This window comes from Homo sapiens, chromosome 22 (genome assembly GCF_000001405.40).
Source record: "Homo sapiens chromosome 22, GRCh38.p14 Primary Assembly".
NCBI classification, from domain to species: domain Eukaryota; kingdom Metazoa; phylum Chordata; class Mammalia; order Primates; family Hominidae; genus Homo; species Homo sapiens.
In genome coordinates this window covers 32,121,941-32,137,391 of record NC_000022.11, presented here as the reverse complement: position 1 = coordinate 32,137,391, position 15,451 = coordinate 32,121,941, and the positions used below count along the sequence as shown (strand labels likewise).

At 49.8% G+C, this 15,451-nt stretch overlaps 2 pseudogenes across 1 annotated transcript, besides 1 other annotated feature; both read right to left on the bottom strand.

The window, feature by feature from the left end:
* Positions 3,263-3,364, bottom strand: AP1B1P2 (AP1B1 pseudogene 2; annotated as a pseudogene).
* AP1B1P1 (AP1B1 pseudogene 1) lies at positions 3,923-15,415 on the bottom strand (annotated as a pseudogene). The gene is made up of 4 exons (NR_040114.1): positions 15,275-15,415; positions 13,358-13,498; positions 4,885-5,171; positions 3,923-4,180 (listed from the first exon to the last, which is right to left on the bottom strand). The product of NR_040114.1 is annotated as an AP1B1 pseudogene 1 (transcript).
* Positions 13,323-13,823: an enhancer, noted in NCBI's record as "H3K4me1 hESC enhancer chr22:32519556-32520056 (GRCh37/hg19 assembly coordinates)". NCBI's record gives its function as "activates a minimal SCP1, AML or CMV promoter by ChIP-STARR-seq in naive H9 embryonic stem cells {active_cell/tissue: H9 hESC(naive)}" and the evidence as "EXISTENCE:reporter gene assay evidence [ECO:0000049][PMID:30033119]".
* Positions 15,416-15,451: the final 36 nt, after the last annotated feature.

Below are 15,451 nucleotides of genomic sequence, written 5' to 3'. Positions count from 1 at the left end.
GATTAGGGTGGGGGTTAATCTTCAGCCTACAGGCTAAAGCAACACCAGAGAGGATGGAAGTGAGACCCCTGGAGTTGTGGTTGTGGTCAGATTGGACCTTCCCGTGGCTGCTGAGACTCTGGGGCATTGGGGATACCTGAGGATGCCTCCCTGCTCTTACTTTGTGGTCACCAAGAGATCAGGGTTACCACAACCCTATAACGTAGAGAATCCCTGTCCCCTTCCATGCCACTTCACTCCTTAGGGAAGCAAACGCCCTCCCAGGAGCTCATTCCCATTCCTGGGCCACAATCAAAGGGAAAACCTGATCCAGACATGAATTTCCTTGGGCCTCTGCATTTCCAGACATCCTGTCATTGTATGCATGGGGCTGACTGTCTCATCTCAGCTTCAGAAGCGCAGGCAGAGTTGTGGACACCCTGCTGAGCAAATGCCCACCGGAGTCAGGGGTTCAGCTTTCCTGCACCACAGCTGCAGGTGGGGGCTGGGGAGGGGGGCATAGGGGGTCCTAGGGAGTAGTTTTTGTATGAGCCTGTGTCACAGCGCTTGATGTTTAGCAGAGAGACCCAGCTGACCGTCCTAAAGAAAGGTGCAACCGAAACTCACTTCACGGGGCCTTTATAACTGAATGAGACAACATACTTAGGTATCTGGTCCTTGATATCTGAGAGATGCTGAGTAAATGAAAATGATCCTTTCTCCCTCTCTGATACTTAACGCGGCCCCTTACATTAGGCTGCTGGTTCTGGAGAGTCGCAGGGAAGCAGGATGGCTCACGCTGCTTTCTCCACAAGCTCTGGCACCCGGTAAGAACCAGCACAGCATGCATGGAGCACACACCATACACTAGGCTTGGTGCTAAGAGCTTTACATGCTTGATCTCATTTAACTGCCCTCAGAAGTCAGGGGATGATCCCCATTTCAGAGAACACTGAGGTTCATAAATGTCAAATAACCTGCCTGGAGGAATCAGGTCTGAGAACAAGGTCTGTGCTCATGACCACTGGGTGGAACCCTTCTCAACATGGTACCCGTGGTCCCAGAGTCACAGGCCTTCTTAAGATGTGAAATTTGGTTAGAGATCAATTTCCTATCTCTGGAATCATCATATCCCCTCTCAATTCTTGTGTTTACAGGCAAGGGCGTGTCAACATAGAGACTTAGGAGGACAAAGTGAACTTCCTGAGTCCCAACAGGCAGGAGTCCTGCCAAAGCCACAATGTATGTGTCACCTTGGAAGATGACGCACCAGGAAGAATGCGGAGGAGGGAGGAGGAAAAACTGCTGATGAGGCTGACTTGCTCTTTGGGGCCTGTCATATCAGCAAAGCCAGCTCTTTTGAGATGGAAGAACAAAGATGTTTCTCCTCTGTGAGGAGGTGACAGTGGTGTTCTGGGTGAAGGAGAGCAGCTTTGTCCTGGAAGGAATCTGACTTGGATGGAGGCCCAGTTGTCCAGCAGGTGCCTGCTCCCTTTCTGCTCTGGCTTCCAAAGGGCTCTCTGCAGAGCTCCTTCCCGGAGCTGCTGGCAGGAGGTCCTTTGCTGGGGGCAATCCATGGGGACGTCTGGAGCAGTGGGAGCCTATCTTGGGACCTGGATGGGAGCTGCTCCACCTCAGCACCCGGGTTATGAGGCACAGGGCTGGGCACCACGAGGGCATGGGTGAAAGTGGCCTGGATTTGGATTTCAGAAGAACTGGGCTTGAGTCCTAGTTCTGCCATAAACCATGTGACTCTTAGGCAGTCACTTTATGTTTTTATTTCAGTGGCATTAAAACTGTCATTACCTACAATATGGGAATTGTAAGGAACTACTGAGAAAACAAATCTCAAAATGTTCTGTGCAGACTCTCAAATATTGTGCAAATATTAAACTGTTGTAAAATCCAGTCTCTGCCTTTGAGATTTTAAAATCTGGTGAGCAGGTAAATGCAAGTACACATAACAGGAGAACAATCTCCATTTAGTGCTGGGTGATGGGAACAGAGAGCAAATGCTTTGAGTTTGGGGTAGTGGGCTGGGGTGATGAGGGAAGGCAGGAACACGGGAAAGGCGGACCTTGAATTTTTTTTATTTTTTTGAGAGGGAGTCTCGCTCTGCCGCCCAGGCTGGAGTGCAGTGGCATGATCTCAGCTCACTGCAACCTCTGCCTCCCGGGTTCCAGCAATTCTCTGCCTCAGCCTCCCGAGCAGCTGAAATTACATGTGCCCGCCACCATGCCCAGCTAATTTTTCTATTTTTAGTAGAGATGGGGTTTCACCATCTTGGCCAGGTGGTCTTGAACTCCTGACCTCGTGATCTACCCTCCTCGGCCTCCCAAAGTGCTAGGATTACAGGTGTGAGTTACCACGCCCGGCCTTGAATGGGTTTTTAAAGATGAGAAGACAAGCTGGGTCACGGGGCGCTCCCACAGGGGAAGCATGAGCCAAGGTGCGGCAGCCGCTCTACGCACGACCTGCTTTAGCCATCGGGTGCGACAGAGGCTGCACACCGGTGACAAATTAGAGAAATCCAATCTGCACATATGTTTTATTTGCACCACACAGTGTTTGTTTAATATCATCTGGCCACTTAGGGAGATTTAAAATGAAAAATCCAGATTTCCCATTCTTTTTTTTTTTTTTTGAGACGGAGTCTTGCTCTGTCACCAGGGCTGGAGTGCAGAGGTACAATATCGGCTGACTGTAACATCCACCTCCCAGGTTCAAGCAATTCTCCTGCCTCAGTCTCCCGAGTAGCTGAGATTACAGGCATGCACCACCACGCCTGGCTAATTTTTATATTTTTAGAGGAGACGGGATTTCACCATATTGGCCAGGCTGGTGTCGAACTCCTGACCTTGTGATCCGCCCGCCTGCGTCCCCCAAAGTGCTAGGATTACAGGCATGAGCCACCACGCCTGGCCCAGATTTCCCATTCTTTTTAAAAACTAGAAGACCTGGCCACACTGGGTCCTCTTCCCCAGCCAGTACTGATCCTCTGGAGTTTCTAAGAGAGTTCATGCCACACCCACTCCATCGCCTGCTGCCTTTCCCACCTACTCCAGTTAACTCACTCCATCACCACCTGACCTGTCGGCATCTGGGCTTGTGATTCCTGAGTAAACAAAATTTTCTACTGGGAATAAAGTTTTATGAAGGGAGCTGTATGAGGGGAGACATGGGTCCCTAGACACCCTAAAGGAGAGACTGAAGTGGACCCCAGCTATAAACCCTCCCGTCAGCCAGCTTCCAGCTGCCACCAGGCCTACTCCTGCACACCTGACATCTTTGCCCACGGTCATTGATGCAATCACTTTCTTCACTGCCTCCTCCTCCTTCTCCTTCTTGTCACTATTGAGCTCTGCCTTCAGCTCAAAGATCTCCCCTAAGGAAAGGAGGCAAGCATGAGTGATCCCTCCCTACCCTGGCAGGGGATAATTCCCGGTATCTAACTTCCAAATGAACCAGAGGGAGGCACGTAAGACATACTATGCTGTTGGCTGAGGACAGCTTCAGGTGCCTGGCCTCAGGTGGGACAGGCAACAGTGCGGGACGACTATTAGGATAGGAATTAACAAGATGGAAGCTTGGAGATCAAGTGCAGTAGCTCACACCTGTAATCCCAGCACTTTAAGAGGCTGAGGATCGGCCGGGCACAGTGGCTCATGCCTGTAATCCCAGCGCTTTGGGAGGCTGAGGCGGCGGATCACGAGGTCAGGAGATCAAGACCATCCTGGCCAACACAGTGATAGTGAAACCTCGTCTCTAATAAAATACAAAAAATTAGCCTGGTATGGTGGTGCATGCCTGTAATCCCAGCTCCTCAGGAGGCTGAGGCAGGGGAATCACTTGAATCTGGGAGTCTGAGGCTGCAGTGAGCTGTGACGGTGCCACTGCACACCAACCTGGGTGACAGAGCAAGACCCTGTCTCAAACGAACAAAAAACAAACATGTTTTTTGTAGGAGAAAGATCTAAATCCTGGTTCTGCTGCCTGCTAACCCCCAGCAAGTTGAAATCACTCTGAGCCTCAGTTTCCTCATCTATAGAATCAAGATGATGATGCCTACTTCACAGGGTTGCTGGGGGCTTAACTGACATAACGCATGTAAAGAACAAGGCCAGGCAAGGCTGAGGTGGGTGGACTGCTTGAGCCCAGGAGTTTGGTTGGGTGAGACCAGTCTGGACGACACAGTGAAAACCTGTCTCGACAAAAAATATAAAAATTAGTGGGTATGTTGGCATGCATCTGTAGTCCCAGCTACCTAGGAGAATTGATTGAGCCCAGGAGGTTGGGGCTGCAGCTCCAGCCTGGGGGACAGAAATCCTGCCTCAAAAAAAAAAAAAAAAAAAAAAAAGAACAAGCACAGTACTGGCATGTAGTACATCCTGTATAGATGCCAACTCCCCACTTCCTCTGACTTGGAGGGTATCTTGTTGGTTAAGACCATAAGTCAGGTGAGCCCTAGCTGGGGGACCTGCACATTTCCCTCCACCTCTCTAAGCTGGAGCTCCCTCATCTGGAAAGTGGGGGATGATGATGAAAGTTGCATTAAAGACTAAAGTGTGGAAAGCACCCGGCAGAGCCCCAGACACCCAGTGAGAATTCAATGAGCAGTGGCTCTGGCACCACCCACGTACTGAACTCAACAGAGGTGCCCTGGGCTTCTGTTAGCTCCCAGGCCAGGCCATGCGTATGCCCATAGCTGCCCAAGGCAACTCTCCTGCCTACCTGGCTCTGGAGAGGTGGGAAGCAGGCAGGCCTCCCTTTAGGTGTGTCTGAGGGTGGGTTATGGGGCAAGGTACTAGAAAGGGCCCACTAAGGCCCGAGGCCCAGTGCCTGGTTGGAGCCCCTGAGGACAAGGGTCCTCAGGCTGGGCTGGCAAGCAAAGGGCAGCCCGCTCACCTCTGGGCCTCGCGGTCGTCCTTGGGCGTATAGTTGGTGAGGCAGTCCAGGATGAAGATCTGGCCCCACTCGGTGCACTCAATCAGGGCTGTCAGCAGCTTGTTGATGAACTGTGGGTTCAGATGGAGCAGGTTGTTGCTCGGGTGAGACTCGGCGATTTCTGAGAGCGCTGCCACTGCGTTGGCCACCACCTGGTTGAGAGGGTGGCAGGGGCAGAGGCTGGAGGTGCTGCTCACAGGCCAGGGAGCAGTGGGCTACTGATGCTGGCTGGTCAGAGGTCAAATATCCTGAAAGGAATATGACCTAATGAGGAGGGTCTGGAGCTGCAATGAGACCAACTCCAAGCACTCATCCTGCTGACTCCTCTGCAAATTGGAAAAAAAAACAAGTGTGCCTGCCATTTAGAAAAACAAGAAAGACCTAGCTCCAAGTGCCTAGCCATAGAAAGCATTCCCAGCTTCCTAACACAGCAGCGCCTGTCTACCAGCAACAGCAGCTCACTTCAATGCTTGTCAGCTGTGCTTCTCAGAGATCGGGGATTGCTGCAGAGCTCCTCGAGGCTACTGGGAGTGGATGGGGGCTGGAGAAGAGGGGCTTGCCAGGTGAAGCTCCAGGCCCTCAATCCATTTCCACTAGAGCAGGTGTTTTTGTTTGTTTGTTTGTTTTTTGAGACGGAGTCTTGCTCTGTCGCCCAGGTTGGAGTGCAGTGGTGTGATCTCAACTCACTGCAACCTCTACCTCTTGGGTTCAAGTGATTCTCATGCCTCAGCCTCCCAAGTAGCTGGGATTGATTACAGGCATGCACCACCATGCCTGGCTAATTTTTGTATTTTCAGTAGAGATGGGGTTTCCTCATGTTGGGCAGGCTCATCTCAGAATCCTGACCTCAGGCGATCCTCCCGCCTCAGCCTCCCAAAGCTCTAGGATTACAGACGTGAGCCAATGCACCCAGCCTATTTTGTTGTTGCTGTTGTTTTTGAGATGGAGTCTCACTGTGTTGCCTACTCTGGGATGCAGTGGCTCAATCTTGGCTTACTGCAATCTCTGCCTCCTGGACTCAAGCAATCCTCCTGCCTCAGCCTCCCGAGTAGCTGTGATTACAGGCATGTACCACCACACCCAGCTAATATTTGTATTTTTAGTAGAGATGGGGTTTCGCCATGTTGGCCAGGACTTAGTGGGCCCTTTCTAGTAGCTGGTCTCGAATTCCTGACCTCAGGTGATCTGCCTGCCTCAGCCTCCCAAGTTGCTGGAATTACAGGCATGAGCCACTCGCACCCGGCCTCAGGCAGCTGTTTGGTTGTTTTTTTTTGTTTTTTTTTTTTTGAGACGGAGTCTAGCTCGGTGTCAGGCTGGAGTGCAGTGGCGCCATCTTGGCTCACTGCAACCTCCAACTCCCAGGTTCAAGTGATTCTCCTGCCTCAGCCTCCCGAGTAGCTGGGACTACAGGAGCATGCCACCACGCCCAGCTAATTTTTGTATTTTGAGTAGAGACAGGGTTTCACCATGTTGGCCAGGATGGTCTCAATCTCCTGACCTCGTGATCTGCCTGCCTTGGCCTCCCAAGTACTGGGATTACAGGCGTGAGCCACCACGCCCGGCCCATTCTTCCTTTTCTTTGTGGCTTCATACTTGAGCTGGGAGACTCTCTGGCCACAGTCCTGTTCATTTTGTGTCTTCTCTACTCTTCAAGGCTGAGACAATCCTGTACCTCCAGAAGTCTTGGCAACAGGGTTTCTGCACCATCTCAGCTCCTGCAAGCACAGTCATGTGGCCATCTGGTGTTGTGGCTGTGGCTGCTGCCTCTTAGTCAGGCCCAGTAGATGCCGTGATTAAGTGAGTGCATGTGTTACCACGTGCACAGTGTATGTGTGAGACAGCAAGAATTGTTTCCCCACTGTCATGAGCACAGGAGGTGGCCCCAGACACATTATTGACCATGGGAAGGCTCCCCATCCTGACCTGACCTTGGTATCCTTCTCCACAGAGCTCTGTGTCCACTGGGCTCTTCTTGTCCTCTCACCAATGTGGATATGTTTATTGTGTCACAAGCTGGCTGAGCCTGAGCATGTCCGTTAGCCTCTCAGGAGGTATATCAAGTCTTCTCAGAAGGCAAACAGATCTTCTCTTGCATCTGTGGAAGTGGGGACATAACTGCAGGTAATAAGAGCATCCAGCAGCTTGGCCGGGTGCAGTGGCTCATGCCTGTAATCCCAGCACTTTGGGAGGCCGACGCAGGTGGATCACAAGGTCAAGAGATCAAGACCATCCTGGCCCACATGGTGAAACCCCATCTCTACTAAAACTACAAAAGTTAGCTGGGCGTACTGGTGTGTGCCTGTAGTCCCAGCTACTCAGGAGGCTGAGGAAGGAGAATTGCCTGAACCTGAGAGGTGGAGGTTGCAGTGAGCCAAGATCGCGCCACTGAACTCCAGCCTGGCGACAGAGCAAGACTCTGTCAAAAAAAAAAAAAAAAAGCAGCCAATATCATAGTTATAAATGGACAACTTTACCAGCTTCAAAGGAAGCATCCAGGTCAGCGCCAAGACCTCTGTAGACTTGTGGCCAATGGTGTTTCCATCATGTCTTGCGCTCTCTGCCAGCAGCCTGACATCGGCCATTGCTATCCCATAGTCGCCATTTGCACACCGCTGTGCACATCAGTCACTTCGCTTTTGCTGATCTGGATCAAGTCCCTCTCACCAAACACTGGCGTGTCTTTATGTGCACTGCACTCTCCACTGTCAGCCTCTGCTGCATGGTCCCCTTACAGATGCTGAATGTCCATGCGTGCTGCTCTGAGCCATGCAATATGATAATGTCCAGTCCCTCGGACTCCGTGAACTCCTCCATACTGTCTTCTTCACTCCTCACAAAGCACCCAGTCCTCGTCCACATGAGTAGATGGGCAAGCGCTGTCCCCACAGGCTCTTTTCATTGGACTCCCACGGAGGGCACTGAGGACTAGTTGGGGGCACCTAGGACTACTGACTGTTCTGCCTTTGGATAGACATGGTCTATCCTGGAACAAATTCGTCTTCCAAGGGAGAAGATGAAGGGGCCACTGTATTTATAATGCCCCAGGGACCTGCTCACGTCTGCTCGTCCTTTCTGTAACCTCTACCTTGGTTGGACCTGCCTGTGGGCCGCCTTTAAACCTCTGCAGCCCACTGTGACCCCTCACCGTCACACAACACTGTGTCTGCATCTCCATCTTACACAAAGCCACCCTAGCAGGAAAGGACACCCCCCTCCTCTCAAAGACTGACACTTTTCAGCAAAGGGTGACCCAGAAAAGATGCAGACAGAACAAGGCCAGTGTACCTAAACAATACCTACCCAAGGAATGCTCAACTTTCTATAGTACCAGAAACTCATACTTCATTTCAATGGACTTCACAGGAGAGTTTAGAAATAAAGATTGGACAAACTATAGAAGACACACAGAAGTATAAACACACAGAGATGTTGGGCAGATATGCCAGGCAAACACTCATGAAACAGAAAGTTGATGTGGCTGTGGTGATAAACAGCAAACTCAACATGCTTGAAGACAATGTGGTTTATTTTGTCTTTAGAAGATCAATGCCTAGGCCAGACCAGTGGCTCACACCTGTAATCCCAGCACTTTGGGAGGCTGCGGTCAGCAGATCACCTGATGTCGGAGGTTCGAGACCAGCCTGACCAACATGGAGAAATCCCATCTCTACTAAAAATACAAAATTAGCCAGGCATGGTGGCACATGCCTGTAATCCCAGCTACTTGGGAGGCTGAGGCAGGAGAATCGCTTGAATCCGGGAGGCAGAGGTTGCGGTGAGCCAAGATCACGCCACTGCACTCCAGCCTGGGCAACAAGAGCGAAACTCTGTCTCAAAACAAAACAAAACAAAACAAACAAAAAAAGAACATCAATGCCTATTAATAAATGGTTCAATTCAAAAAAGAGAATTTCAGCTCTCAGCTCCAACACTGATGAGTTGTGTGACCTTGGACAAATCCCTTCGCCTCTCTGGACCTTGTTTTTTGGGTACTTCACATGGGGATGATAATAGCACTGATGACTGGGTTGTGGTGAAAATTAAGGGAGACAATCTGCATAGTAAATCCTCCATAAAAATGGGCTTCTGTGATGTAGGGTGAGCTCCTGGAGGACAGGGTGTTCCTGGAGGACAGGTGTTCCGTTTTTTCCGGGACACCTCCAGGGCCCCACCCCCAGGGCCTTGCTCTGTGCCAGACACACAGTAGGAACACAGATTGCTGAAGGAACTGAGTCTCCATTTCTGTGGCTTCTGGCCACAGACCCAGAGAGCCAAGGCAGATTTTCAGAACACCCTCCCCACCCCGGCCAATTCTCCTGTGTTTATCCAACTCATTTCCTGGCTAGGTGCGGGCAGAGCAGCAGCCCAGGCCTGGCCTTCTGTGCTGAATGTGGTGGGGGCCAGGGGCAGCTGCTCCTCCAGGAGAGCGCCTCCCAGTGGAGGCTAGGAAGGAGGGGAGGGCTGGGAGTGGTGGTGTTACCAGAAAGGGGTCCCGATCCAGACCTCAAGAGAGAGTTCTTGGATTTCTCAAAAGAAAGAATTCAACATTAAATTAAATTTTATTTTCGCATTAGTGCATCTTTAATGCTAAAGTTACTTTTTAATAAAATTTTATGAATCTATCCAATTTTAATTAATTTGACTATAAGGTAAGATTTTGGTAACAATTTATAACTATAATTTTTTTCTTGTTAAAGAACAGATCAATGTTCCCAAAAACCCTATTATTTTGATGTACGGGCCCAGATTCTGGCTCTGTTTCAGCGTCTTGTGTTTAATATTTAATTTATGGAAGAATTAAATAATACCCTTTCATTTTAGTCAACTTGCTCACAGAATTCTTTACAAAGTTTCATAAACCTCCTATAACTTGCTTAAACTTTATATTCTTTCAACTAAAAATAATTCTTAAACTTTCGAAGTTAGAAAAAACTCACTTTTTTTGAAAAAACCATTTTCCCATGTCAAAAACACATAATTTTTCTTTTTAGTGTAAGCAATTTTAATTACATACCAGGTGCGGAGTCTAGGATACAAGACAGAACTGCAGATAAAGTCTGACTCTTTCTAGCATAGCTAGGAGGCATGGTTAACTCCACCTGTCCCCAGGCCTCACCTAGAAATCTAATGGCTCCAAACCAGGTAAACTGAACAATTTTCCAAAGTCAAAGAAGCAGTTTATGACATTAAAGCACTTAGCGAATTCAATCTCTGACTTAATTTAAACCAAATGTCTAAATTTTGAAAACATTTTCATTTTACCAATAACTTTTAAAAGCCTTTATTTCCCAAAGATTACTGAAGTTACATGAACTAAAAGGTATGAGAACTTCTATTTTTCTGATGAAATATTTGGGAGCTTTCATTTTCTTTGAAGCCAATTAAAGCTCCTTTATATAAACATCATACACAGCACTTCCAGACAAGATCGAGCAGTTCTAAGTTTTTCTTTCCCATCTTATGACTTTCTGACTTGTCCTATACTTCCCTTTTTTCATCTTTTATTTTATTTTGAGATGGAGTTTCGCTCTTGTTGCCCAGGCTAGCGTGCAATGGTGCAATATCGGCTCACTGCAACCTTTGCCTCCCAGGTTCAAGTGATTCTCCTGCCTCAGCCTCCTGAGTAGCTGGGATTATAGGCATGCACCACCACACCTGGCTAATTTTGTATTTTTAGTAGAGATGGGGTTTCTCCATGTTGGTCAGGCTGGTCTCAAATGCCTGACCTCAGGGTGATCCAGTTGCCTTGGCCTCCCAAAGTGCTGGGATTACAGGCATGAGCCACCGCACCTGGCCTACTTCCCTCTTCTCTAAATAATTAGTCATTCTACTTTAGAACAATAATTTGTAATACAAGATCCTCTCTCCCACAAAATCTCTTTCCTTCATAACCTTCCTTACCATAAATACATCTTCTTACCCACAATTTTTTTAGCTCTCTCTCCCCTACTAATTTCTGATGTCCACCCACATCCAAAAGGTCAGGTAAAGCAAGGCAAAACAAAGCAGAGCCTTCCCCAGGTTTTGAGAGGGACCTGTCCACTTACACTTCTTGGGGGTCCATGAGGAAAACAGAGGCTCCTCCTAAAATGGAGTCTGTGGCACCTTCTGTTTTTCCCAAGGACTCCCAGGCTGCCAGAAATTACCTTAGCTCCTCTCATGTGGCCATCAAGAGTGGCGACAAGACAGACTAGGGAAATAATTCAGTCAACTGAAAAGAAAAAGAAAAAGTTAGTACTGTCCCCATTGTAAAGATGGATAAACTGAGGTACCACACAGCTTAAAAATTCATGTTCGCATAGAGTTAGGCTCCAAAGCTTGCTCAACCATCCTGTAATTCTGCTAACTCTAGGCCCAGTCACTGATGCACTTGGTATGGTAGCTCATGGCCCTCTGAGAGCTCAGAACCTGGGTTTCATGTCCTCATCTACGGCTATATAATTTAACAATTTTCCTCTGAATTTGTTGGATTCTACCCCTATATATCTCAAATTTTATTAATATTACTGAATCTTAAAGGAGGCTGTGATGCCTTTAGTCTGTAGAAATATTAACCTATAAACAAAGGACTATATGAGGTTAATGGTATTCAAATTTTTTCTATATGCTTTAAAACATTGAGGGAATATATTGAGAAAGACACCTAAGAAACTGCAACCAATCTACTCTGGACAAAAATTTAGACACCATCTCTTCAAAATAAGCTATATAGTGGTACATATGCATATTTTTACGTATATCAACAATATTTTACATATTCATGACCTCAAAAATAATTAAAAAGTGTAAAATTTACAGACCTCATACGTTTCTGTTGGCTTGAAAAAAATGATACAATATAGATTGTTTCTTTAAAGTAGTCAATAAAATGCACAAATTTCTAGAGTAATCAGTTAAAAAAAAAAGTTCATACCAAAGATAATATTATTAGGAATAAAATAGGGCTCAACACTGCAGGCTCTTAAAGGCAAAAGTTAGTGAAGCCTTGTTTGTGGTAGAGAATCTTGGCCTAAAAACATTATACACATGATCCTCCCCTTCCTTTTCCTGTTGCAAAGATGTGGTGATGAACCAAATTTGCTCATGCAAATGACAATACTCTTGAAAATGGTGGCAGAGAAATAAAATGAAAGGAATGTGGTTCACTTAACAATCTCATAAATTGGAACTTATTACCCCTGTGCCTCTTGACTATCTCCAGACTAATATGTGAGAGACATGAATTGGCTGTTTGCTACCAATATTTTATTCAGTGCTTCATTTTTTCATTCCTTGAATAACTACTTACAGGATCATGAAAGCACAGCTACTCAAGTATCTAAATAATTATGCAACAATTTTTTTCCTCATCACAATAATGGACCAATTATTTTTAAAATACAATACACTGGGCCAGTGAAGTGCCTCACCCCTGTAACCCCAGCACTCTGAGAGGCTGAGATGGGCAGATCATGAGGGAGGTCAGGAGTTTGAGACCAGCCTGGCCAACGTGGTGAAATCCCGTCTCTACTAAAAATAGAAAAATTAGCCAGGCATGGTGGTGTGCACTTGTAATCCCAGCTTCTCAGGAGGCTGAGGCAGGAGAATCGCTTGAACCCAGGAGACAGCAGTTGCAGTAAGTGGAGATCGTGCCACTGCACTCCAGCCTGGGCAATAGAGCAAGACTCTGTCTGGGGGGCAGGGGTGGAGGGGAATACAACATGCTGACAAGTACTCTATTTTTAACTCAGGTTTGGATTGTTGTTTGTTAAGGCCATTGCTTATGATAAAGAAAACAAAAGGAGGAGGAGGAGAAACAAGAACAGACACAAGAAATAGAAGCAGCAGCATAAGAAAATGAAGAGGAACAAGAAAATGATGATAAGCAGAAGAAAAACCAGAAAGAAAAAAAGAAAAAGAACAGATAAAGGAATCAGGAGGCCTATTACACATCTTGTCCCCTTCCTGATTCATGAAATTTTAAAAAGTTCAAGACTACCCTAACAAAAATCAAGCAAAAAGATACACAAATAGTCACCTCCACAAACTTTGTTAATAATGACACAATGGTGCCACTCACGCCTGGCTCAGGCACCCGCAGGAGGATAGCACCCTCCAGATTCTGCAGAAGTGGGGAAGACTCCTCCTTCCCCTGGCTATGCCTCCATTCCTGCCACAGAGGCCCACAGCTTCCTACCCACCCCAGGCCAGGCTGGGACAGGCGAGCCAGTCCCACAGTGCTCCCACCTGCCTTCCTGGGCCCCAGACTTGCTGCTGCTGCCACCACTAGCGCTGATGCCAATACAACCACCACTGATGTTACCCTCAATGCACCAGCCCATCCTATGAGGCTCCTAACACCTGGCCACCACTGCAGCCCTACCTGTGCCCTGACAGCAGCCAGCCACCCTCCTACCGCTCTGTCGCTCTGCAGTCTCCATCACTGCTCTCCTACCGCTTTGGCACTCTGCAGTCCCCATCGCTGCCACCAACCACAGCGAGGCGAGCCACAGTGTCGCAGGCTCTAGCCTCCAGCAAGCAGCAGGTAGTCCCTCCTCTTCGCGCGGAGCAACTGGGCAGGCAAAGCCAGAAAAGCCTAGAACGGGATGCAGAGAGTGGTAGCATTAGAGCCTCACCTTGCCATGCTGGCCACTGGGTGGCAGGTGTCAGTTTCAGTGAAGACACTCACACCCACCCTCTAAAGTCCAGCCTCTCCTTTTGGCCCAAGCTGGCCAGTGACTGGGCCCTGGGGTGGGGACTGGAGACACCACAGCGTCCAGGCTTCCTACTCCATAGGAACTGCTGGGCCCACCCTGGCTGCATTTCCTGGGAAGCAGGAGCAGCAGAAACTCAACCCCAGCCAGCCCTCCCCACCCAAGTGCCGGTTCCCATTCCTGACGCCTCCACCCACAGGGCCTGGTCACCCCGTGGTATCCGCTACTCTATGTGCGGGGGTCCCAGGTGGTCTCTGCAACACGTAGCAAGAGGGCGCAGGCCTGGGAACCATCTCGGGGCTGGGGGCTGGGCCCTGCTCAGGATTCCCCCAGAAACTCGAGCAGGAGGAGATGGCCCTCTGGAGCCTGAGTCAGGGAGAGGAGGACTGCTCCTCTGACCACTGCTGTCACTGACACCTCTGCTGCCTGCTGCCAGGGTGACAGTGCAGCCCCCCGATAGCGCCCCCAACACCCTGCCCCCCATCACCAGCACCTGATAGCGCCCCCAACCTGCCCCTGCCTCGGACACTGAAGCACCTGCTGGCACCTGCAACTTGCCCCCAGCCACGGGCACTGCAGCCCAGGGTAGCAACCTCAATCCGCTCCATGCCATAGACGGTGTAGCCATGAATAGCGGCCCCAACCAGACCACCGCCACTGGCAGTGACGCCCCAATATGGCACCCAAACTACCCCCCACTGCAAGCAGTGCAACCCCAGATAGCGCTCCAATCTGCTCCCACCGGGAGTAGCAGCCCAGGATAGCGCCCCCCATGCACTCCCTGCCTCTGGCAGTGCAGCCATGGATAACGCACCCAACCCACGCCCTGCCGCTGGCAGTGTAGTCCCCAATAGTGCACCCAACCTGCCCCCGCCCCCTGAGCCAACGTGGCCCCAGATAGCATACTCACTGGCTCCCTGACAGGCAGTACAGATCTCTGATAGCACCCAGCCCACCCCCCTCCACCCACCATGGGCAGTGTATCCTCAGTAGCACCCCCAACCAACCCCCCACCCCCTCTCCACGGGCATTCTGGTCCCTGGTAGCACTCCCAATAAACCCCGCTACTTCTGCCTCAGTGTAGCCCCCGATAGCAACCTCAACACCCCCCTCCCTGCCGCCAATAGTGTAGCACCCTATAGTGACCCTAACCCGTCCCCCACCACCAACATTGCAGCCCCAGATTGTGCGCTCAACCCACTCCCTGCTGTAGGCTGTGCAGCCATGGATAGTGCCCCCAACCAGCTCCCAGACGCAGGCAATGATGCCCCAGATACCACATGTCCCACCCACCACAGGCAGAGTAGCACCCAATAGCGCCCCCAACCTGTGCCCAACAAGGGCATTGCAGCACCCGATAGTTCTCCCAACTCACCCCCTGGCCGCAGGCAGTGCATCCCCAGATAGTGCCCCCCAAAACCACCCACTGCCGCTAGCAGTACAGATTGGGATAGTGCCCCAACCCACCCCCAGCCACGGGCAGCACACCCCAGATAGGGCCCCAACCCACTCCCCTCCACAGGCAGTGATGCCCCAGATAGCACACCCAACCAGCCCCTCAACACGGGCAGTGACGCCCTGGATAGGGACCCCAACCCACCCCCCATGCCTCAGGCAGTACCTCCTGGGATAGCGAACCTATCCCACCACCTTTTTACCATCCTGGCTGCACTGTCGTCTTCCTTGCCACCACCAACCACAGCAGCAAGGGGAGCCAAGGCAGGCTCGAGTCTCCAGCGTGCGTGGCAAGTGCCTCCTCCTCCTTCTCCTGTAAGCCTGGAATGGAGCAGCTACACCAGTGGACACTGAAGAGCCTAGAATGAGGAGCCGCCTCA